The sequence below is a fragment of the Homo sapiens genome, chromosome 8, assembly GCF_000001405.40.
Source record: "Homo sapiens chromosome 8, GRCh38.p14 Primary Assembly".
In the NCBI taxonomy this organism is placed as follows: domain Eukaryota; kingdom Metazoa; phylum Chordata; class Mammalia; order Primates; family Hominidae; genus Homo; species Homo sapiens.
In genome coordinates, this window is record NC_000008.11 from 99,053,784 (window position 1) to 99,076,856 (window position 23,073).

The 23,073-nt window shown below is 38.7% G+C and overlaps 1 protein-coding gene across 5 annotated transcripts in view; it reads left to right on the forward strand.

Moving 5' to 3' along the window:
• VPS13B (vacuolar protein sorting 13 homolog B) overlaps nt 1-23,073 on the forward strand; it is an 864,307-nt gene that overhangs the window by 40,510 nt on the left and 800,724 nt on the right. The window contains exon 4 of one of the 5 annotated variants that reach the window (NR_047582.2): nt 2,143-2,257. The exons of the other annotated variants lie outside the window; for them this stretch is intronic. The gene's annotated coding sequence lies outside the window, so the exon portion shown is untranslated. The remainder of the gene's footprint in view (nt 1-2,142; nt 2,258-23,073) is intronic. 5 annotated transcript variants of the gene reach the window in all.

The window sequence follows — 23,073 nt, forward strand, 5'->3', positions numbered from 1 at the left end:
CCTCTCCCTCCTGGGTTCAAGTGATTCTCCTGCCTCAGCCTCCTGAGTAGCTGGGATTACAGGCGACTACCACCACCCCCGGCTAATTTTTATATTTTTTAGTAGAGACTGGGTTTCACCCTGTTGGCCAGGCTGATCTCAAACTCCTGGCCTCAGGTGATCCTCCTGCCTCGGCCTCCCAAAGTGCTGGGATTACGGGCGTGAGCCACCACGCCCAGCCCAGGGTTTCCTTTTTTCTAGGGCTGAATAATATTTTTTTGTGTGTATTTACCCCATTTGGTTTATTCATTCACCGATGGACACTTGGGTTGCTTTCATCTTTTGGTTATTGAGTATAATGCTACAATGAACATGGGTGTGCAAATCTCTCTTTGAGACCCTGCTTTCAGTTCTTTTGCATATATACTGAGAAGTAGAATTGCTGGATCATATAGTAATTCTGTGTTCACTTTTTTCAGGAATTTCCATACTGTTTTCTACAGTGGCTGTACCATTGTATTCTCACCACCAGTGTACAAAGGTTTCAGTTTTGCCACATCTTCACCGACACTTATTTTCTGTTCTTTGGATAGTGTCTATCTTAATGGGTTTGCAATCTTTGACCATTTTAAAATTCAATTGTTTGTCTTTTTGTTTGAGTTTTAAGAGTTCCTTTTGTATTCAAGGTAGTAGAGTAGGTCCTTAGCAGATTATGATTTTCAAATATTTTCATCCATTCTGTAGGTTGTGTTGTCACATTCTTGAGAATGTATTTTGATGCACAACGTATTTAATTTGGATAAAGTCCAATTTGCCTATTTTTAACTTTTATTGCTAGTGCTTTCGGTGTTATATCTAAGAGTTCATTGCTTTATCTAAGGTCTTGAAGATTTCCCCCTATGTTTTCTTCTAAGAGTTTTAAAGTTTTAGCTCTTATATTTAGGTTGTTGATCCATATTGAATTAAATTTTGTATATGGAATGATTAATTTTATATATGATATGTTGTATATGGGTTCAACTTCATTCTATGGTTATTTGGTGGTCCAAGCACTATTTGTTGAAGAGTCTTTTCTTTGCCCACTGAATGGTCTTGTCACTCTTGTTGAAAATAAACCCTATAGGCCTATGCTGGCCATAGGGTTTATTTCTGGACTCAGCATTTTATTCCATTGGTTTGTGTGTGTGTTCTTAAGCCTGAACAACACTATTTTGATTATTGTGCTTTGTAGTAAGTTTTGAAATAAATAAGCTTCCTATTTTGTATTTCTGTTTTTTTTTTGTTTTTTTTTTTGTTACAGGGTCTCACTCTGTTCCACAGGCTGGCATGCAGTGGCATGATCTCAGCTCGCTATATAACCTCTGCTTTCGTGCTTAAGTGATTCTCCAGCCTTAACTTCCTGAGTAGCTGGGACTATAAACATGAGCCAGCATGTTTGTCTAACTTTTGTATTTTTGGTAGAGACAAGGTTGTGCCATGTCGCCTAGGCTGATCTCGAATTCCTGAGCTTAAAGCAATCTGCCTGCCTCAGCCTCCCAAAGTGCTGTGATTACAGGCGTGAGCCACCATGCCTGGCCCTATTTTATATTTCTTTTTCAAAATTGTTTTGGCTCTTTGCAGTTGTATATGAATTTGAAGATTAGCTTTTTCAGTTTGGTTCAAAAGGCCATTGGAATTATAATAGGGATTGTACTGAATCTGTCAATTGCTTGGTAGTATTAGCATCTTAACGATGTTAAGTATAGTGATCCATGAACATGGGATGCCTTTCTATTTATTTAAGTAATCTTTAATTGTGTCAGCAGTGTATTATAATTTTCATTGTGTCTTTCACCTTCTTAGTTGAATTTATTCCTAGGTATATTATTATTTTGGGTGCTATTGTATGTAGAATTGTTTTCTTAATTTCCATTTTGGATCATTTGTTGCTAGTGTACAGATACACCACCAATTTTGGTGAGTTGATCTTTTATTTATTTATTTTTGAGATGAGGTCTTACTTTGTCACCCAAGCTGCAGTGCAGTGATGTGATCATGGCTCACTGCAGCCTTGACCACCTGGGCTCAAGCAATGCTCCCACCTCATCTTCCCTAGTAGCTGGGACCACGGGCACATGCCACAGTGCCTGGCTAATTAATTTTTTTTTTTTTTTTTTTTTTTAGAGAGAGGGTCTTGGTATGTTGATCAGGCTGATCTCGAACTTCTGGGCTCAAGTGATCTTCCCACCTTGTCCTCCCAAGGTGCTGGGATTACGGGTATGAGCCACCATGCTTAGCTGTGAGTTGATCTTTTTTGTTTGTTTGTTTTTTTTGAGACAGGATTTTGCTCTGTTGCTGAGGGTGGAGTGCAGTGGTGTGATCTCAGCTCACTGGAACCTCCATCTCCCAGGCTTAAGTGATCCTCCCACCCCAGCCTCCCAAGTAGCAGGGACTACAGGTGTGCGCCACTATGCCCGGCTAATTTTTTTTGTGTGTTTTTGTAGACATGGGTTTTCATCATGTTGCCCAGGCTCGTCTTGAACTCCTGGGCTCAAGCGATCTGCCTGCCTCAGCCTCCAAAAATGCTGGGATTGCAGGCGTGAGCCATCATGCCCAGCCTGTGGGTTGATCTTTTATCCTGCACATTTGCCAGATTCGTTTGTTAGCTGTAGTAGTTTTTGGTGGATTCTGTGGGATTTTCTATATATAGAGTCATGTTATCTGAAAATATATAGAGATAGTTTTACTTTTCTGTCTCCAATTTGGATGCCTTTTCTTCCTTGTCAAATTTCTTTGTCTAGGACTTCTAGTACAGTGTTTAATAGCAGTGGTGAAAATGGGCATCCTTGTCTTGTTATTTATCTTTGACGGAATGCTTTCAGCCTTTAACTATTGGATATGATGTTAGGTGTGTGTTTTTCATAGAAGTTTCCTTCTATTCCTCATCCTCATTCCTCCATCCAGTGGAGGTGGCAGGGGGTGAAATGGACTCTGTGAGGGTCATCCTTAGTTTTGGTTGTTTAATGCTCTATCTTTGTGCTGGTTGGCCTTAAACATGTAGATGAATTTCACAGGAATATTTTTACTGTGTTGAGTCTTACAATCCATCTACACAGTACGCTTCTCTAATTATTTAGATTCCTTTGTATTTCTTTCATCAGCATTTTCTTTTTTCAGCATGTAAGTCCTATATATGTTTTGTTAGATTTATACCTAAATATTTTATTTCCTTTGGGGCATTTTTAATATTATCATATGTTTAATTTTTTATTTTGATTGTTCATTGTTAAGTTATAGAAATGCAATTTATTTTTCTGCATTGATCTTGTGTCCTGTGACCTTGCTTAACTGTTTAATTTTAGGAGTTTTTTGGGTGGATTCCTTTAGATTTCCTCCATAAATAATAATACCACCTACATAGACAATAATATCACCCACAAAAAGTATTTTTTTTTTTGTTTCCAGTCTGTATGCCTTTCTACCCTTTTTAAACTTATAAGTTAATATTTATACCTCATGGATTCTGCCTCCATGATGCCGTTGTAAGCACTTTGGCAGAGCTCATTAGTAACATCAAGCTTAAAAAATCCAGTGTATTCTTTTCATTTATTTTTTGATTCTCATTTACCTTTGCCATTTAATACTTGTCATCTCTTTCCAAAAACTTCACTTTCTTGGCTCCTCTGATTCTTTCCCTACATCTTTGGCACCCTGTCTCTGGCTCCTGTTGTTACTTTTCTGCTACCTATCCCACATTTAAATAGGAGTTTTGTAGGTTTTCGTTATTTTAGTGCTCACTCTCCTTGGATAATTTTATTCCCAATGGATTTAGTTATCATTATATATTTTTTACTCACAAAATGCTATTTTAGGGGTCAGTCTTTTTTTTCCTGAACTCCAGCATAAGAGCTAAATGGGCCTTCACCTATATGTCCCATAGAATGTTCCAAACTGAAATCATCTTAAACCTCAAATCCTTTCCTCTTTATGTATTTTCTGTGTCAGTGAACAATTCCACTGTGTGCTTTCAATCCAAACCAGGAACCCTGAGGTCGTCCTTAACTTTACCCATCCCTTATATCAATTATTCATCAGTCTGTTTTCTACTGCTTTCCTATCTCTTGAGTGTATCTATTAGCTTTCATTGGTACTTCGAATCATTTTTCACACTGTCTCTAGACATGATATTCTTAAATGTGGGTCATTTCCTCAAAACTTCTTTTCTAGTTCAGTGATTTTCTCAGATCATAAACTTATGTGCAACTCATAAGAAAGAGACTGAAATTTTTTGTAATCTAGTTGTTTTCGAAGTGTGATCTGAAGACCTCCAGGTGTTCCCAAGTTTTTTCTTTTTATATACAAAATCAACATTATTTTTCTAATACTAAGACATGATTCATGATTTACTTTTTTCACCCTCATTTTCTCATGAATGTAGTGTGGAATTTTCCAGAGGTTATGTATGGCACTGGAACAGACTGACGGCAGAAGCAAATATGAGAATGTAGCTGTCTTCTCTTAAGTCAGATTTAAAAAAAAATATAATGCCCCCTTTTTTTATTTTTGTTTTAGAAAATATAGCTATTTTTCATAAAATATGAAAACCCTAAAATCTATCATTTATTTTAAATTATCCATAATATAATTATAATTAACAAATAATGGATTTATTTAAAAATAAGTCATAAAATATATAAACATATATATTAGAATTTTTTTCTTTTGTATTTCTACTATGGTAAATATGTGATTCTCAGTAATTTTTAACACATTAAGAGGTCCTGAGATTAAAATATATCAGGATTGCTGGTCTCATGCATATTAATACATAGCAATCAAAATTGAATTATTTTAAATTGGCAAGCAACTTGACTGAATTTATAATTTTGGAAGTTGACTTTTTTCACAGTGGAGGGGAAGGGATTGGAGGAAATAATTTCAGAGAATTAGTTAGATTCTTTTTGCCATATTTTAGAAGAAAAGTTATGGAGCCCAGATGGAACTAAGTCATTGTCTGTGGCATTGGAGAGGTGGTGATAGGTTGTGAAGGAGGATATACAGAGGAAGTTCTGGGATGACTTATGGAATTTTACTTTAGGATGATTGGTGTGGATTTTGGTGCTGTTGATTTAGATTCTTTTCAGACTTGTCTGTCTAGCTCATCATATGCTAACATTACTAGTAATTAGATCTCACTGAAGGATAATACAGAAAGTAGGCATAGTACATTGTGTGTAAACCACATAGAAAATTACCATTTTAGTACTTATTTCCTTTCTTTGAAGGAAAAGTTGAAAAGTTCTTTATTCAACACATGCTTACTGAGTTTTATAACACTGTACTGAATGCTATGGATATAGTAGTTAGTGATACAGACAAAAACTTTCTCTTCTTTTGGAGTTTATGTCTTTTTGAGAGAAGGTCTCACTCTGTTGCCCAGCCTGGAGTGCAGTGGCTTGATCTTGGCTCATTGCAACTTCTGCTTCCTGGGTTCAAGTGATTCTCCAGCCTTAGTGTCCCAAGTAGCTGGTACTACAGGCGGAAGCCACCAATGCCCGGCTAATTTTTGTATTTTTTGTAGTGATGGGGTTTTGCCCTAATTTTTGTATTTTTGGTAGAGACGGGGTTTCGCCATGTTGGCCAGGCTGGTCTCAAACTCCTGAGCTCTTAGCTATTTTCCCACCTTGGCCTCCCAAACTGCTGGGATTACAGGCATGAGCCACCATACCCAGCCTCTTTTTGGAGTTTTAAGAAGACTGTATCAATTGATACAGTCTGCCCTCTGTACCACGGATGTGAAGCCCATGGATGCAGAAGGCTGACTGTAAGGTATTTGAGCATCCACAGGGGTCCTAGAAACAATCTCCTACAGATACTGAAGTATGACTATCTATCATGAGTGGTTTATGATTTTAATTTTAACATGAAGTATTGTTTGTAATCTTAGAATCATTGGATACTAAACTTTTGTTTTAGGTTTAGCTTCTGCTTTTTTTTTTTTTTTTTTTTGAGACAGGGTTTTGCTCTGTCACCCAGGCTGCAGTGCAGTGGTGTGATCTTGGCTCACCACAACCTCCACCTCCCAGGTTCAAGCAATTCTCCTGCCTCAGCCTCCCAAGTAGCTGAGATTACAGGTGTGCGCCATTATGCCCAGCTAATTTTTGTATTTTTTTTCGTAGAGACGGGGTTTCAGCACATTGGCCAGGATGGTCTTGAACTCCTGACCTCAGGTGATCCGCCCACCTCGGCCTCCCAAAGTGCTGGGATTATAGGCGTGAGCCACTCTGCAGGCCAAGGTTTAGCTTCTTTTTGAGGTGAAATAATTGGGGTCATTTGAGAACATTATTGAAAAAGAAGTAAAAAAACTACAAACCACACACTGATACTTGTAGATGGATGACAGTGTAGGTAAATTTTTTTCAAATTGTATTGTGTTCCCTGAGAGTTTGGGAACACAAGAAATCATGGTTTCTTGAACTTCAGCTTGTGTCTAGATCCTAGAAGTAATAGAGGATTCTTTTTAGTTAGCTATTTGGGAGATATAGTGTGTTATAAATGTTTGATTCTTTAAAAATACATAAATTGGGCTAGGCGTGGTGGTTCACCCATGTAATTCCAGCACTTTGGGAGGCTGAGGCAGGTGGATCACTTGAGGTTAGGAGTTCGAGACCAGCCTGGTCAACATGGCAAAACCCCATCTCTACTAAAAATACAAAAATTAGCCGGGTGTGGTGGCAGGCACCTGTAATCCCAGCCACTCAGGAGGCTGAGGTGGGGGAATCACTTGAACCTAGGAGGCGGATTTTGCAGTGAGCCGAGATCACACTACTGCACTCCAGCTTGGGTGATAGAGCGCGACTTCATCTCAAAAACAAAAAAAAAAATTGATTTAAATAATATAATCTTTTATTATATGATGTATAATCCTGAAATTTATGGCATATGAAAATGAAACTTGGCATAAAGTGGATTTTTTAGTTCAATAATACTTTTTTTTAACTTATTGAGGATGTTTTAGTTCTTGTTTGCCATAAGTGAAACTTTTTGGAATTCTGTATTTGTTTCACAATTGGGAAGATTTTTTTTTCTTTTTGAGCTGAAAAAGGTATATTTTATTTTTAGTCTGTCAACTATTTTAAGTAAGAAGAAAACATTTAGATCAAGACAAGGAAGGCTTTAGTTTCATCAGGGACTTTCTAAGAATGTTATGAATGAGTGAAAATATGGGGTTGTAACAGAAGTGCAAATATAACCTTAATTGTAGTGTTCAGTGCTTTTGACACTATAATTTATGTCTAAATGCTGCAAACTGAAAGAACCTTAGTTTGAAACTTTGAAGTTGATGGTGGTTGCAGGTTTTCTTTTTCCCTTCAGTTTTATGCCATCTCAATGTGTTATCTGGCATTAAAGACATAAGGAACACAGATTGCAGCTTCCATTTTTTTGGCATGTTTTTGATTTCTATTTGATTCATATGCTCTGGAGGTTCCTTTTGAATCTATAAAATGCAACAGTTCTCTGATTTTGTTTTGATGATTAGATGCTGCTAATTTTCTTTTTTTTTTTTTTTTTTGAACTTGTTCATTTTGCCATGACTATTTTTTGAAACTTGAGATGTCTGGTATTTAGAAACTGTACTGAGACTTTAGTTTTTCTATCTGACCTGAGTTTTCTATGGACAGATTATAGTGGGGTCTTACTAGTCTGACAATTCCTGACTATTCATTGGAGTGTTTACTTTTATTTAGTTCTAAATGTGGTTAGGTTTAAGTTTAATGTCTTCATATTTTACTGGTCCCATCTGATTTTTGTTCCTTTTTTTCTTTTCCTGCCTTCTTTGGGATTGAGTATATTTTAGCATTCTATTTTCTCTTCATTATTAATTAACCATACTTTATTTTTTAGTAATTGCTCTAGGGTTGACAGTATGCATGTTTAACTTATCAATGTCTACTTTGAAATAATATTATAAAATACCACTTTATAAGTAACGTAAGTATTATCCCTTACCTAGAATGTTTATGACAGTATGCTCCTCTTCATGTCCTGTCATGATTTGTGCTAATGTTGTCATAACTCTTACTTCTGTATGTTACACACTCACAATGGTCAATAATAATAACTATTACTGCTTTGAATAATTTTTAAGAAATTAAAACAAGAGTGTTTGTTGTGTTTACCCACACTGGATTTTAAGGAGTGAATCTTGTTTGGTGTTCGTTGTTATTTTGTGCTTCTGTGTACACAAAGGTGCCTATGATGTTTCACCTTAGTTGTTAAATACTTCCTTAAGTCGAAGCTCATGTCTCAACAGTATACTGTTCAGCCCTCCTGGGATATGTTTTTGCTTCCTTCAACTTGTCTAAATCCACATATTCCCCCGAAGTTAGATCGATTCTCAACTTCAGTATCTTATTTAGTAAAACCATTATTTGCTTCTGATTCCCTATGCGTTTTATAGGGAAGATAGGACATGCCATTTCCTGTAAATAAGATTAGTCTAACATTTATAATACAAATGCCAATGCTACAAAAGGGAAAACTGTTCTTATTTAGGGTTCTGTTTATGTAGCAGTTCATACAGAGAATTTTCATGTGCGTCAAAACCAATAAGAGATTAGATATGCCTTTACAAAACACAATAAATTATCATTATTCTTTTCTTTTATTCAAATAAGACAACCTTTCAACTGTTGAAGAGCATGGGCCCTGAAAAATAACTTTATTATATGTTTATTTTTTTTGAGGCAGAGTTTCGCTTTTGTTGCCCAGGCTGGAGTGCATGGGCGTCATCTCGGCTCACTGCAACCTCCGCCTCCCAGGTTCAAGCGATTCTTCTGCCTCAGCCTCCCGAGTAGCTGGGATTACAGGCATGCGCCACCACGCCTGGCTAATTTTGTATTTTTAGTAGAGATGGGGTGTCTCCATGTTGGTCAGGCTGGTCTCGAACTTTCGACCTCAGATGATCCACCCGCCTTGTGGATCCCAAAGTGCTGGGATTATAGGTGTAAGCCACCACGCCTGGCCTATGTGTTTAATTTTTAATTCCTTAATACATAAGAATACATTATTCTCTTATAATAGTTTAAGGTATTCAGATATTTTCTTAACCATTACTGAAAGTATCTGTGGATATAGATGGGCACTCAAGTATAGAATAGATGTTAGAGGATTGCAACTACAAAATAAAGTATTTCTTAATTATTTTAAAAATGAATATAGTAAACATTATGGCCTTTTTTCCTTTATTTACTTATTTTTAAAGCAGGATGCATTTTTTTAGGAGCCAGAGTCTCTTTTATAGCAATAGTGAAATGAATTATTGTAATCTGAACACTTAACAATCCATAAATTGACTCTTCCAAGATGGCCCAGTAGGAACAGCTCCAGTCTGCAGCTCCCAGCGTGATTGACACAGAAGACGGGTGATTTCTGCATTTCCAACTGAGGTACCTGGTTCCTCTCATTGGGACTGGTTGGACAGTGGGTGCAGCCCACAGAGGGCAAGCCGAAGCAGGGCGGGGCGTCGCCTCACCCGGGAAGTGCAAGGGGTCGGGGGATTTCCCTTTCCTAGACAAGGGAAGCTGTGACAGACGGTACCTGGAAAAACAGGACACTCCTGCCCAAATACTGTACTTTTCCAATAGTCTTAGCAAACGGCATACCAGGAGATTATATCCCATGCCTGGCTTGGTGGGTCCCATGCCCACAGAGCCTTGCTCACTGCTAGTGCAGCAGTCTGAGATCGACCTGCAAGGCAGCAGCCTGGCAGGGGGAGGGGTGTCTGCCATTGCTGAGGCTTGAGTAGGTAAACAAAGCAGCCAGGGAAGCTTGAACTGGGTGGAGCCAACCACAGCTCAGCAAGGCCTGCTGCCTCATAGACTCCACCTCTGGGGACAGGGCATAGCTGAACAAAAGGCAGCAGAAACTTCTTCAGACTTAAACGTCTCTGTCTGACAGCTCTGAAGAGAGGAGTGGTTTTCCCAGCATGGTGTTTGAGCTCAGAGAACAGACAGACTGCCTCCTCAAGTGGGTCCCTGACCCCTGTGTAGCCTAACTGGGAGACACCTCCCAGTAGGGGCCAACTGACACCTCATACAGGCAGGTGCCCCTCTGGGACGGAGCTTCCAGAGGAAGGATCAGGCAGCAATATTTACTGTTGAGCAATATTTTCTGTTCTGCAGCCCTTCGCTGGTGATACCCAGGTGAACAGGGTCTGGAGTGAACCTCCAGCAAACTCCAACAGACTTGCAGCTGAGGGACCAGACTGTTAGAAGGAAAAAGAAGGAAAACTAACAAACAGAAAGGCATAGCATCAACATCAACAAAAAGGACATCCACACCAAAACCCCATCTGTAGGTCACCAACATCAAAGACCAAAGGTAGATAAAACCACAAAGATGGGGAGAAACCAGAGCAGAAAGCTGAAAATTCTAAAAACCAGAGTGCCTCTTCTCCCCCAAAGGATCGTAGCTCCTCGCCAGCAACAGAACAAAGCTGGATGGGGAATGACTTTGAGGAGCTGACAGAATAAGGCTTCAGAAGGTGGGTAATAACAAAATTCTCTGAGCTAAAGGAGGATGGTCGAATCCATTGCAAGGAAGCTAAAAACCTTGAAAAAAGATTAGACGAATGGCTAACTAGAATAAACAGTATAGAGAAGACCTTAAATGACCTGATGGAGCTCAAAACCATGGCATGAGAACTATGTGAAATATGCACAAGCTTCAATAGCTGATTCGATCAAGTTGAAGAAAGGGTAGCAGTGATTGAAGATCGAATTAATGAAATAAAATGAGAAGAGAAGTTTAGAGAAACAAGAGTAAAAAGAAATGAACAAAGCCTTCATGAAATATGGGACTATGTGAAAAAACCAAATCTGCTTTTGATTAGTGTACCTGAAAGTGATGGGGAGAATGGAACCAAGTTGGAAAACACTATGCAGGTTATTATACAAGAGAACTTCCCCAACCTAGCAAGGCAGGCCAACATTCAAATTCAGGAAATATAGAGAACACCACAAAGATACTCTTCGAGAAGAGCAACTCCAAGACACATAATTGTCAGATTCACCAAGGTTGAAATGAAGGAAAAAATGTTAAGGGCAGCCAGAGAGAAAGGTCGGGTTACCCACAAAGTGAAGCCCATCAGACTAACAGCTGATCTCTCAGCAGAAACTCTACAAGCCAGAAGAGAGTGGGGGCCAATATTCAACATTCTTAAAGAAAAGAATTTTCAACCCAGAATTTCATATCCAGCCAAACTAAGCTTGATAAGTGAAGGAGAAATAAAATACTTTACAGACAAGCAAATGCTGAGAGATTTTGTCACCACCAGGCCTGCCCTAAAAGAGCTCCTGAAGGAAGCAATAAACATGGAAAGGAACAACCGGTACCAGCCACTGCAAAAACATGCCAAATTGTAAAGACCATGAATGCTAGGAAGAAACTGTATCAACACAACAAAAAAAGAGAATTTCAGGTTGATATCCCTGAATGAACATTGATGCGAAAATCCTCAGTAAAATACTGGCAAACCAAATCCAGCAGCACATCAAAAAGCTTATCCACCACGATCAAGTCGGCTTCATCCCTGGCATGCAAGGCTGGTTCAGCATACGTAAATCAATAAACATAATCCATCACATAAACAGAACTAAAGACAAAAGCCACATGATCGTCTCAATGGATGCAGAAAAGGCCTTCGACAAAATTTAACAGCGCTTCATACTAAAAACTCTCAATAAACTAGGTATTGATGGAACGTATCTCAAGAGCTATTTATGACAAACCCACAGCCAATATCATACTGAATGGGCAAAAACTGGAAGCATTCCCTTTGAAAACCGGCACAACACAGGGATGCCCTCTCTCACCACTATTGTGCAACATAGTGTTGGAAGTTCTGGCCAGAGCAATCAGGCAAGAGAAAGAAAGGAAGTTGTATTCAGTTAGGAAAAGAGGAAGTCAAATTGTCCCTGTTTGCAGATGACATGATTGTATATTTAGAAAACCCCATTGTCTCAGCCCAAAATCTCCTTAAGCTGATAAGCAACTTCAGCAAAGTCTCAGGATACAAAATCAATGTGCAAAAATCACAAGCATTCCTATACACTAATAACAGACAGAGAGCCAAATCATGAGTGAACTCCCATTCACAATTGCTTCAAAGAGAATAAATACCTAGGAATCCAACTTACAAGGGATGTGAAGGACCTCTTCAAGGAGAACTACAAACCACTGCTCAATGAAATAAAAGAGGACACAAACAAATGGAAGAACATTCCATGCTCATGGATAGGAAGAATCAATATCGTGAAAATGGCCATACTGCTCAAGGTAATTTATAGATTCAATGCCATCCCCATGAAGCTACCAATGACTTTCTTCACAGAATTGGAAAAAACTACTTTAAAGTTCATATGGAACCAAAAAAGAGCCTGCATAGGCAATACAATCCTAAGCCAAAAGAACAAAGCTGGAGGTATCACGCTACCTGACTTCCAACTATCCTACAAGGCTACAGTAACCAAAACAGCATGGTACTGGTACCAAAACAGATATATAGACCAATGGAACAGAATGGAGGCCTCAGAAATAACACCACACATCTACAACCATCTGATCTTTGACAAACCTGAGAAAAACAAGCAATGGGGAAAGGATTCCCTATTTAATAAATGGTGGTGGGAAAACTGGCTAGCCATATGTAGAAAGCTGAAACTGGATCCCTTCCTTACACCTTATACAAAAATTAATTCAAGATGGATTAAAGACTTTAATGTTAGACCTAAAACCACAAAAACCCTAGAAGAAAACCTAGGCAATACCATTCAGGACATAGGCATGGGCAAGGACTTCATGTCTAAAACACCAAAAGTAATGGCAACAAAGGCCAAAATAGAGAAATGGGATCTAATTAAACTAAAGAGCTTCTGCACAGCAAAAGAAACTACCATCAGAGTGAACAGGCAACCTACAGAATAGGAGAAAATTTTTGCAATCTACCCATCTGACAAAGGTCTAGTATCCAGAATCTGCAAAGAACTTAAACAAATTTACAAGAAAAAAACAATCCCATCAAAAAGTGGGCAAAGGACAGACACTTCTCAAAAGAAGACATCTATGCAGCCAACAGACACATGACAAAATGCTCATCATTACTGGTCATCAGAGAAATTCAAATGAAAACCACAGTGAGATACCATCTCACACCAGTTAGAATGGCAATCATTAGAAAGTCAGGAAACAACAGATGCTGGAGAGGATGTGTAGAAATAGGAACGCTTTTACAGTGTTGGTGGGAGTGTAAATTAGTTCAACCATTGTGGAAGACAGTGTGGCTATTCATGAAGGATCTAGAACTGGAAATACCATTTGACCCAGCCATCCCGTTACTAGGTATATACCCAAAAGAATATAAATCATGCTGCTATAAAGACACATGCACAGGTATGTTTATTGGGGCACTATTCACAATAGTAAAGACTTGGAGCCAACCCAAATGTCTGTCAATGATAGACTGGATTAAGAAAATGTGGCACATATACACCATGGAATACTATGCAGCCATAAAAAAGGATGAGTTCATGTCCTTTGTAGGGACATGGATGCAGCTGGAAACAATCATTCTGAGCAAACCGTCACAAGGATAGAAAACCAAACACCGCATGATCTCACTCATAGGTGGGAACTGAACAATGAGAACACTTGGACACAGGGCGGGGAACATCACACCCTGGGTCCTATCATGATGTGGGGGGCAGGGGGAGGGATAGCATTAGGAGAAATACCTAATGTAAATGATCAGTTAATGGGTGCAGCAAAACAACATGGCACATGTATACCTACGTAACAAAACTGCACGTTGTGCACATGTACCCTAGAACTTAAAGTATAACTTAAGAAATCCATAAATTTTGGAATGCCTTGGACACAACAGCAACAAGAATCTATAAATATTATGCTTGCTAATAGTATAATGTATAATTTAACCCTTTTAACCTTTACTTCAATTCCTTAAAGTCTTTAAAATCTCAGTTGGCATCAAAAGTATTACTGAGAAAATTCTTTTGTGCTTTACCGCAAATTTATCTGAAATGCATTCTTTTCTTCTTATACATTGAATACTCTCGGAGTTCGTTGTTTTGGAATTATATGTGATTATAAGATATTTCCTGTTTTTTCCTCCCATGCTCCCATTGTTTTCCCATGACACTTTTAGATATTTATCATGTTGGCTAGATTTCGCCTTTTACTTTTGCATATGTTTGGAATATGCTATTTTATATTATGTAGCTCTTACGTGTATTATTTATTTTCCGAAATATTTGTATTTTTCTTCTCCCTTGAGCCTCTTTATCTTCTTCAGCCCATTTTCTTACAGATACTTCCTTTCCTTTCCTTTCTTTTCTTAACCCTTTAGTCTTTCATTAGAACTGTTAAGGAATAACAGAAGAAATACCTTGTCTTCTTTCCAGTACTTTTGCCAAGCATAAATTTTGTGCTTTTTTCTTCCCTAGCTGTTTTATAGATTTTCTTATAATTCAGACATATTTGTGGTCTGAACTTTTTGCCTTTTATAATGAAATCACTAGGTTACAAAGCATTTATAAGTTGTGTAGTTTATTCTGTAAATTTTTAATAAAGACAGATGATTTAGAGTAGGGGTAATCAAACTATGCCCCATGGGCTCACTGCCTGTTTTTGTAAATACAAGTTTTTTGGAACACATCCACTCTTACTTGTATAAATATTGTGTTTGGTTGCTTTCATGCTCCAATGGCAGAATTGAGAAGTTGCACATATTAGGCCGTTTTCACACTGCTATAGAGAACTACCTCAGACTGGGTAATTTATAAAGAAAAGGTTTAATTGACTCACAGTTCTGCATTGCTGGGGAGGCCTCAGAAAACTTACAATTATGGCAGAAGGCGAAGGGAAAGCAGGGCACATCTTAGGTGGCAGCAGGGGTGGGGGGAATGCCACACTTTAAAGGCCATTAAATCTCATGAGAACTCACTCACTATCACGAGAACAGCATGGGGGAAACCATCCCTGTGATCCAGTCACCTCCCACCAGGTCCCTCATTTGATTTGTGGGAACTACAATTCTAGATGAAATTTGGGTTGGTACACAGAGCCAAACCATATTATTTTGATAAAGCCTAAATGGCTTGCAAGCCTAAAATATTTATTGTCTGGCCCTTTACAGAAAGTTTGCCTACTCTTATTTTAAAGTATATGATCATTTAAAAGTGACATTTAATTCTATTAAAAGTAAAAGCATAAAATAATTTAAAAATTATATATATTTTTCTAGATTGTTATAGGAATTTGCATGTTGGTAATTGCTAAAATTTGATAACATAATACCTACATAATTTGAGCCCTTAAATAAATGGAGTCAGGCTGGGTATGGTGGCTCACTCCTGTAATCCCTGCACATTGGGAGCCTGAGGTGGGCGGATTGCCTGAGCCCAGGAGTTAGAAACCTGCTGGGGCAACATGGTCAAACCCCATCTCTACAAAACAGTACAAAAATTAGCTGGACTTGGTGGCACAAGCCTTTAGTCCTAGCTACTCTGAAGGCTGAGGCAGGCAGATGGATTGAGCCAGGAAGGTTGATACTGCTGTGAGCTGTGATCACACCACTGCCAGCCTGGGTGACAGAACAAGAGCATGTCTCAAAAGAAAAGGAGTCATTTTGTGATTGAGAGACAAAAGAACAAGTTAATAATGACGTTTGTCAATTATTAGAGTATGTAGTTATCTAATAAGTTATTAGGGTGTGTGTATATATATGTGCACATACATTTTCTAATAATTTGTGTATGTATGCATCTGTATACACAGATATTTACATGTCTAGATTTCACAGTAGGTTGATCTGAGAATGACAGCATGATCTACTATTACTGAGTAAATTATCATTACCATTCAGGGTTATGATTCTTGGAAATTATATTCAGAATGGCCTAAGAGAGGTTGTTATATTCAGTGTGTTGAACTTGAGAAGGAAATTGGAAGAGTATTGGCAGAAAACTTTAGAGCGCATATAGTTTACTTTTAAAAATTCTAAATACATTTGAAAAAAATTCTCTTGCTCCTTTTTCCATGAATTTTTAATTGTTTTAATTAAATTTTTGAAAAAAGTTTTAAAGTTTTTAAAAACAATTTTAGACAAGATCTTGCTCTGTCCACTCAGGCAGGAGTGTGGTGGCACAGTCACAGATCTCTGCAGCCTCAAACTGCTGGGCTCAAGTGATTCCCCCCGCCACGGCATCCCAAGTAGCTAGGGCTATAGACATGCACCACCATGCCCAGCTGATTTTTTTAATTTTTAATTTTTTGGTAGAGACTAATTCTCATTGGGTTCCCTAGGCTTGTCTTGAAATCCTGGGCTTAAGCAGTCCTCCTGCCTTAGCCTCCCAAAGTGCTGGGATTACAGACGTCAGCCAAAGCACCTGGCCCCATGAAATTTTTTTTAGTTCTTCGATTATCTTAAAATATGTGATCTGTTATATCCTGTTAGTAGGTTATTAACATCCTAAAGTACTAAGAAATTTTCTATCCAGTCAGTTAAATATTTTGAAGTGTTTTGGAATGGATGCATGAAATTTTTCTGTGAAAACTTTAATTCTTTCTTTGTATTATAGTACATACTTTGGGAATTATATCCTGAGTTTTCTAGAACAGTTCCAATTTCATACTTATTGAAATTAACTACAACTGCTTGAGATTAAGTATTTGACTGCTTATGGCTGCCATGAAAGTAATGCTTGTTGCAAAATAATTCAAATGGTACAGAAGTAAATAAGTAGTAAAAGTTAATTTTTTTCTCTTTGTTTTTTGTTTTTCTGATACTCCCCTTCAGAGACATATATTATCTATAGGTTTCCTCTCCACTGTCTACATTACCTTCTTTTCTCGAATTTTATTTCTTAGTTTTCTCATTCTGCATACTGTATTTATTGTTCAAACTGTTACGTCATTGAGTATTATTTCGAGATCTTGTGGCTGTGCTTCAGTCTTCCATTATTCTTTTTTCTTTTGTCTCCTGTATGTATTTTCAAATAGCCTGTTTTCAGTCTCACTAATTCTTTCTTCTGCTTGATTAATTTTGCCATTGAGAGGTTCTGATGCATTCTTCAGTATGTCAATTGAATTTTTCAGCTCCAGAATTTCTGCTTGATTTCCAAAAATTATTTTAATCTTTGTTAAATTTATCTGATAGGATTCTGACTTCCTTCTCTCTGTTATCTTGAAGTTCGTTGAGCTTAAAAATAAGTATTTTAGGTTCTCTGTCTGAAAGGTCTCATATCTCTGTCTCTTCAGGATTGGTCATTGGTGCTTCATTTGGTTTGTTTGGTGAGGTCATGTTTTGCTGTATGGCCTTGATGCCTGTGGATGTTTGTTGGTTTTTGGGCATTGAAGAGTTAGGTGTTTATTGTAGTTTTCACAGTCTGGGCTTGTTTGTATCCGTCCTTCTTGGGAAGACTTTCCAAGTGTCTAAAGGGAAGTGAGTGTTGTGATCTAAGTCTTTGGTTGCTGCAGCTGTATCGCACTGGGGGCACCTGAAGCCTAGTAATGCTGTGACTCTTATAGACTTGCAGAAGTATTGCCTTTGTGGTCTTCAGTAAGGTCCAAGAGAATTTCCTGGATTACCAGGCAGAGAATACCCTGGATTACTGAGCTCCATGCTGAACTGCTTCAGGCGGGGAAAAAGGTGACACAAGCATCCATGTGGCCACCACCACTATGACTCGTTGGGTCAGACCTGAAGCCAGCATATCACTGGGTCTTGTCTAAGGCCTACAGTGACCACTGTGTGGCTACTGTTGTTGTTCATTTAAGGCACAGGCTCTTTTGGCAGCAAGTGGAAAATCCAGCCATGCTTGTGTCTTTCCCTTCAGAGTGGCAAGTTCTCCTGTAGCCCAGGGTGGGTCTAGAAATGTCATCTAGGAGCCAGAGCCTAGAGTCTGGGAATCTTAGAAATCTGCTTGGTGTTCTGTTCTACTGCAGCTGAGCTGGCACCCAAGCCACAAGACAAAGTTCTTCCCACTGTTTCCTCTCCTTTTCAGAAGCAGGAGACTCTCATTGTGGCCATCATCACCCCAGGTCTGCAGTGAATACTGCATGGCTACCAGTGATGTTCATTCAGGGGCCAAAGGTTTGTCAGTCAGCTTGTGGTGATTGCTTCCAGGCCTGGGTCTGTCCCTTTAGGGCAGTGGGCTCCCCTCTGGCCCAGGACAGACCCAGAAATGCCATCCAGAAGCCAGGGTCTGGAACTGGGGACCCTAGCAGCCTTCTTGGTGCTCTGCGATTTTGTGGTTGAGCTGGTGTACCCAGGCAGCAAGACAAAGTCCCCTTTATCCTTCCTCTCCTTCCATCAAGCAGGAGGAGCCTCTCCTTGTGGCCACCACAGCTGGGAATACGCTGGGTCACACCTGATGCCAGCACAGCACTGGGTCTCACCCCTAGACCCACGGTGAGTACTACCTGATTACTGCTGGTGTTTATCCACTGCCCAAGGGCTCCTTAGTCAGCGCGTTATGAATCCTGCCAAGACTGGTTCCTTCCCTTAAAGGTAGTGGGTTTTCTTCTGGCCCAGGATGGTCTAGCAATGTTATCTGGCAGCTAGGGCCTGGAATGGAGGCCTCGAACTCTTCCTGATGCCCTATGCTACTGTGGTTGAGGGCATCCAAGTTGCATGACAAAGAGCTCTTTAGTTTTCCCTCTCCTCTCCCACTCCTCAAGCTTAAGGCAGGAATGTCTCCTGGGAGCTTGTTTGGCAGGTGGAGCCAGGGGTGCGGGGCCGAGGTGGTATAGGCACTCCCCTGGCTGGGTGGTTTAACATAATACCATTCGTGTATTTCTGTTTTTATTGTTTGGGGTTTTGAGGTCATAACCGTAAAATCTTTGCCTAGATGAGTGTTCTGAGGTGTTTCTCCTGTTTTCTTTTAGTTTTAATAGTTTTATAGTTTCAGGTCTTAAGGTTAAGTCTTTAATCCATTTTGAGTTGATTTTTGTATGAGTTGGGAGATAGGGTTCCAGTTTCATTGTTGTGCATGTGGATATTCAGTTTCACTGCACCATTTATTTTAGAAGATGTCCTTTCCCCAGTGTGTGTTCTTGGTTCCTTTGTCAAAAATCAGGTGGCTGTAAATACATGGATTTATTTCTGGGTTCTCTTTTCTGTTTCATTGGCCTGTATGTCTGTTTTTATACCAATATTGTGCTATTTTGGTAATGATAGCTTTGTAGTATATTTCAAAGACAGTGTGATGCCTGTAGGTTTGTTCTTTTTGCTCAGGGTACCCAGGCAGCAAGACAAAGTCCTCTTTACCCTTCCTCTCCTTCTGTCAAGCAGGAGGAGCCTCTCCCTGTGGCCATCACAGCTGGGAATGCTCTGGGTCACACCTGATGCTAGCACAGCACTGGGTCTCACCCAGTGCTTTGGCTATTCAGAGTCTTTTGTAGTTCCAGATTAATTTTAGGGCTGTCTTTTCTATTTCAATGAAGAATGTCACTGGTATTTCAATAGGGATTGCATTGAACCTGTAGATTGCTTTGGGCAGTATGGCCATTTTTAACAATATTAATTCCTCTAATCTATGAACATAGGATGTCTTTTCATTTGTATCCTTTTCTGTTTCTTTAATGAGTGTTTCGTAGTTTTTATTGTAGAGTTATTTTTTACCTTTTCTGTTAAATTTATTCTTAGATATTTAATTTTTTTGTAGCTATTGTAAATGGCATTGCTTTCTTGAGTTCTTTTTCTGACCATTTTTGGTGTGTGGAGATACTGCTGATTTTTCTATGTTGATTTTGTATCCTGCACTGAATTTATCAGATTTAAGAGCTTTCTGGCAGTCTAGGTTTTTCTGTATATAAGATCATGTTGTCTGCAAAGCAGAGCAGTTTAACTTCCTCCTTTCCATTTGGATTTTCTTTCCTTTTTTTTTTTTTTTTTTTTGGTGTGGAAACCCAGGACTTTCTTTTCTTTCTTTTATTTTTTGTTTCTTTCTTTCTTCTTTTTTTTTGGTCATAAAGTTTCACTCTGTTTCCCCATGCTGGAGTGCAGTGGTGCGATCAGGGCCCACTGCAGCCTCAACCTCCCTGACTCAAGTGATCCTCCGTTCTGAGGCTCCCAAGTAGCTGGGACCACAGGTGTGTGCCACCAGGCCTGGCTAATTTTTTTATTTTTTGTAGAGATAGAGTCTCCCTATATTGCCCAGGCTGGCCTCAAACTACTGGGCTCAAGTCCTCCCACCTTGGCCTCCCAAAGTACTGGGATTACAGGTGTGAACCACCATGCCCAGCTGTCTTTATTTTGCCTGATAGCTCTGGCTGGGACCTTCTGTACTGTGTTGAGTAAGAATGGTGAAAATGGGCATCCTTGAAAGCCTTTCAGTTTTTCTCATTTCAGTATGATAGTAGCTGTGGGTTTGTCATATATGGCCTTTATTATGTTGAGGTGTGTTCCTTCTATCCCTAATATGTTGGGAGGTTTTATCATGAAGGTATGTTGGATTTTATCAAATGCATTTTTAGCACCAATTAGATGATCATATGGTTTTTGTCTTGATTCTGTTAATGTGTTGTATCACGTTTATTGATTTGTGTATGTTGAATCGTCCTTTCATCCCTTAAGTAAATCCTACCTGATTAGGAGAATGGCGTGAAACCGGGAGGCAGAGCTTGCAGTGAGCCGAGATCGCACCACTGCACTCCAGCCTGGGTGAGACAGTGAGACTCCGTCTCAAAAAAAAAAAAAAATTCTACCTGATTATAGTATATTATGATGCTTATTTGTTGTTGGGTTCAGTTGGTTTGTATTTTGTTGAGAATTTTAAATCTATGTTCATCATGGATAATGGCTTGCAGGTATTTTGTTGTTATTGTTTGTTTGTTTTTGAGACAATCTTGTTGCTCAGGCTGGAGTGCAGTGGTGCAATCTCAGCTCACTGCAACATCTGCCTCCCAGGTTCACACAATTCTCCTGCCTCAATCTCCTGAGTAGCTGGGACTACAGGTGTGTGCCACCACACCTGGCTAATTTTTGTATTTTTTGGTAGAAACAGGGTTTCACCATGTTGGTCAGGCTGGTCTCGAACTCCTGACCTCAAATGATCAGCCTGCCTCTGCTTCCCAAAGTGCTGGGATTATAGGTGTGAGCCACCACTCCTGGCCTGCAGTTTTTTAATTGTTGTTGTGTCCTTGTCTGTTTTTGGTGTTAGAGTAATCCTGGCCTTGTAGAACGAGTTAGTAAGCTTCCCTTCTCATCATTTTTTTGGAATAGTTTAAGAATTGGTTCTTCCTTGTAAGCTTGATAAATTTAGCAGTAAAGCCATTTCATCCTGGGCTTTTCTTTTTAGGGAGAGTTTTTACTACTCATTGAATCTTGTTACACATTATTGATGTGCTATACTATTCTTGCGATGTTATAAAGGAATACCTGAGACTAGGTAATTTATAATGAAAAGAGATTTAATTTGCTCACAGTTCTGCAGGCTGTATAGTCATGTAGCCGGCATCTGCCTAGCTTCTGGGGAGGTCTCAGGGAGCTTTTACTCATAGCAGAAGGTGAAGCAGGAACAGGCATGTCACATGGTGAGAGCAGGAGCAAGAGAGAGTGCTGGGGAGGTACCACACACTTTTAAAAACTCAGATCTTGCAAGAACTCACTATTGTAAGGATAATTCCAAGGGTACAGTTCCAAACCATTAATGGGCAGTTTTTCCCCATGATCCAGTCACCTCTCACCAGGCCTCACCTCCAACACTGGGGGTTACATTGAGGGGCCAAATTCCCAAGCTATATCAATTGGTCTGTTCAGGTTTTCTGTTTCTTTCTGGTTCAGTCTTAATAGGTTGTATGTGTTCAGGAATTTCATTTCCTTTAGGTTTTTAAGTTTGTTAGTATACGGTTGTTTATTATAGTCTCTAGTGACCCTTTGTCATTTTGTAGTATCAGTTGTAATGTCGCCATTTTGTTTGTGATTTTGTTCATTTGGGTCTTTGCTCCTTTTAACATGGTTAGTCTAGCTAAAAGTTTGTTGATTTTATCTTTTCAAAAAGCTAACTTTTTGTTTCATTGATCATGTATATTGTTTAGTCTCTAGTTATTTCTGCTCTGATCTTTATTGTTTCCTTGTGCTAGCTTTGTGTTGGTTTTTCCTCTTCTGGTTTCTTGAGAGTCATCATTAGGTGGTTTTTTTGAAATCTTTCTACTTTTTTGTTGTAGGCATTTATTGCTATAAACTTTCCTCTTAGTATCGCTTTTCTTGTATCTCATGAGTTTTCGTATGTTGTATTTCTATTTTTGTTTAATGAAATTTTTTAATGTTTTAAATTACTTTATTAATGGAGTCATTGATCATTCAGGAGCATGTTGTTTGATTTGTCTCTATTTGTACAGTTTCCAATGTTCCTCTTGTTACTGATTTCCAGTTTTATTCTTGTGGTCTGAGAACATATTTGACATGATTTTGATTTTTAAAAATTTGCTGAGACTTACTTTGTGGCCTAATATATGATTTACACTGGAGAATGTTTTATGTGCTGATGAGTCGAATGTGTATTTTACAGCTGTTGGATGAAATGTTCTGTAAATATCTGTTAAGTCTGTTTGGCTTATAGTGCAGTTTACATCTGATTTTTTTGGTTGATTTTCCATGTGGATGATATGTCCCATGCTGAGAGTGGGGTATTCAAATGCCCCACTATTATTGTATTGGAGCTATCTCTCCCTTTAGATCTAATAATATCTGCTTTGTATATCTGAGCATTCTGGTATTAGGTGCATATATATTTAGAATTGTTATATCTTCTTGCTGAATTGATCCTTTTATAATTAATGACTTTGTCTTTTTTTTTTTTTTTACAGTTTTTCATTTAAAGTCTGTTTTATCTCATCTAGGTGTAGCTACTTCTGTTTGCTTTTGTTTTTTGTTTATATGCAATATCTTTTTCCATTCCTGTACTTCTAGTCTATGTGTATTTACAGTTAAAGTGAGTTATTTATAGGCAGCATACAGTTTGGTCTTTTTCTTTTTAAAAATTCATTAAGCCAGTCTATATCTTTTATCAGGGGAATTTAATCTATTTACAT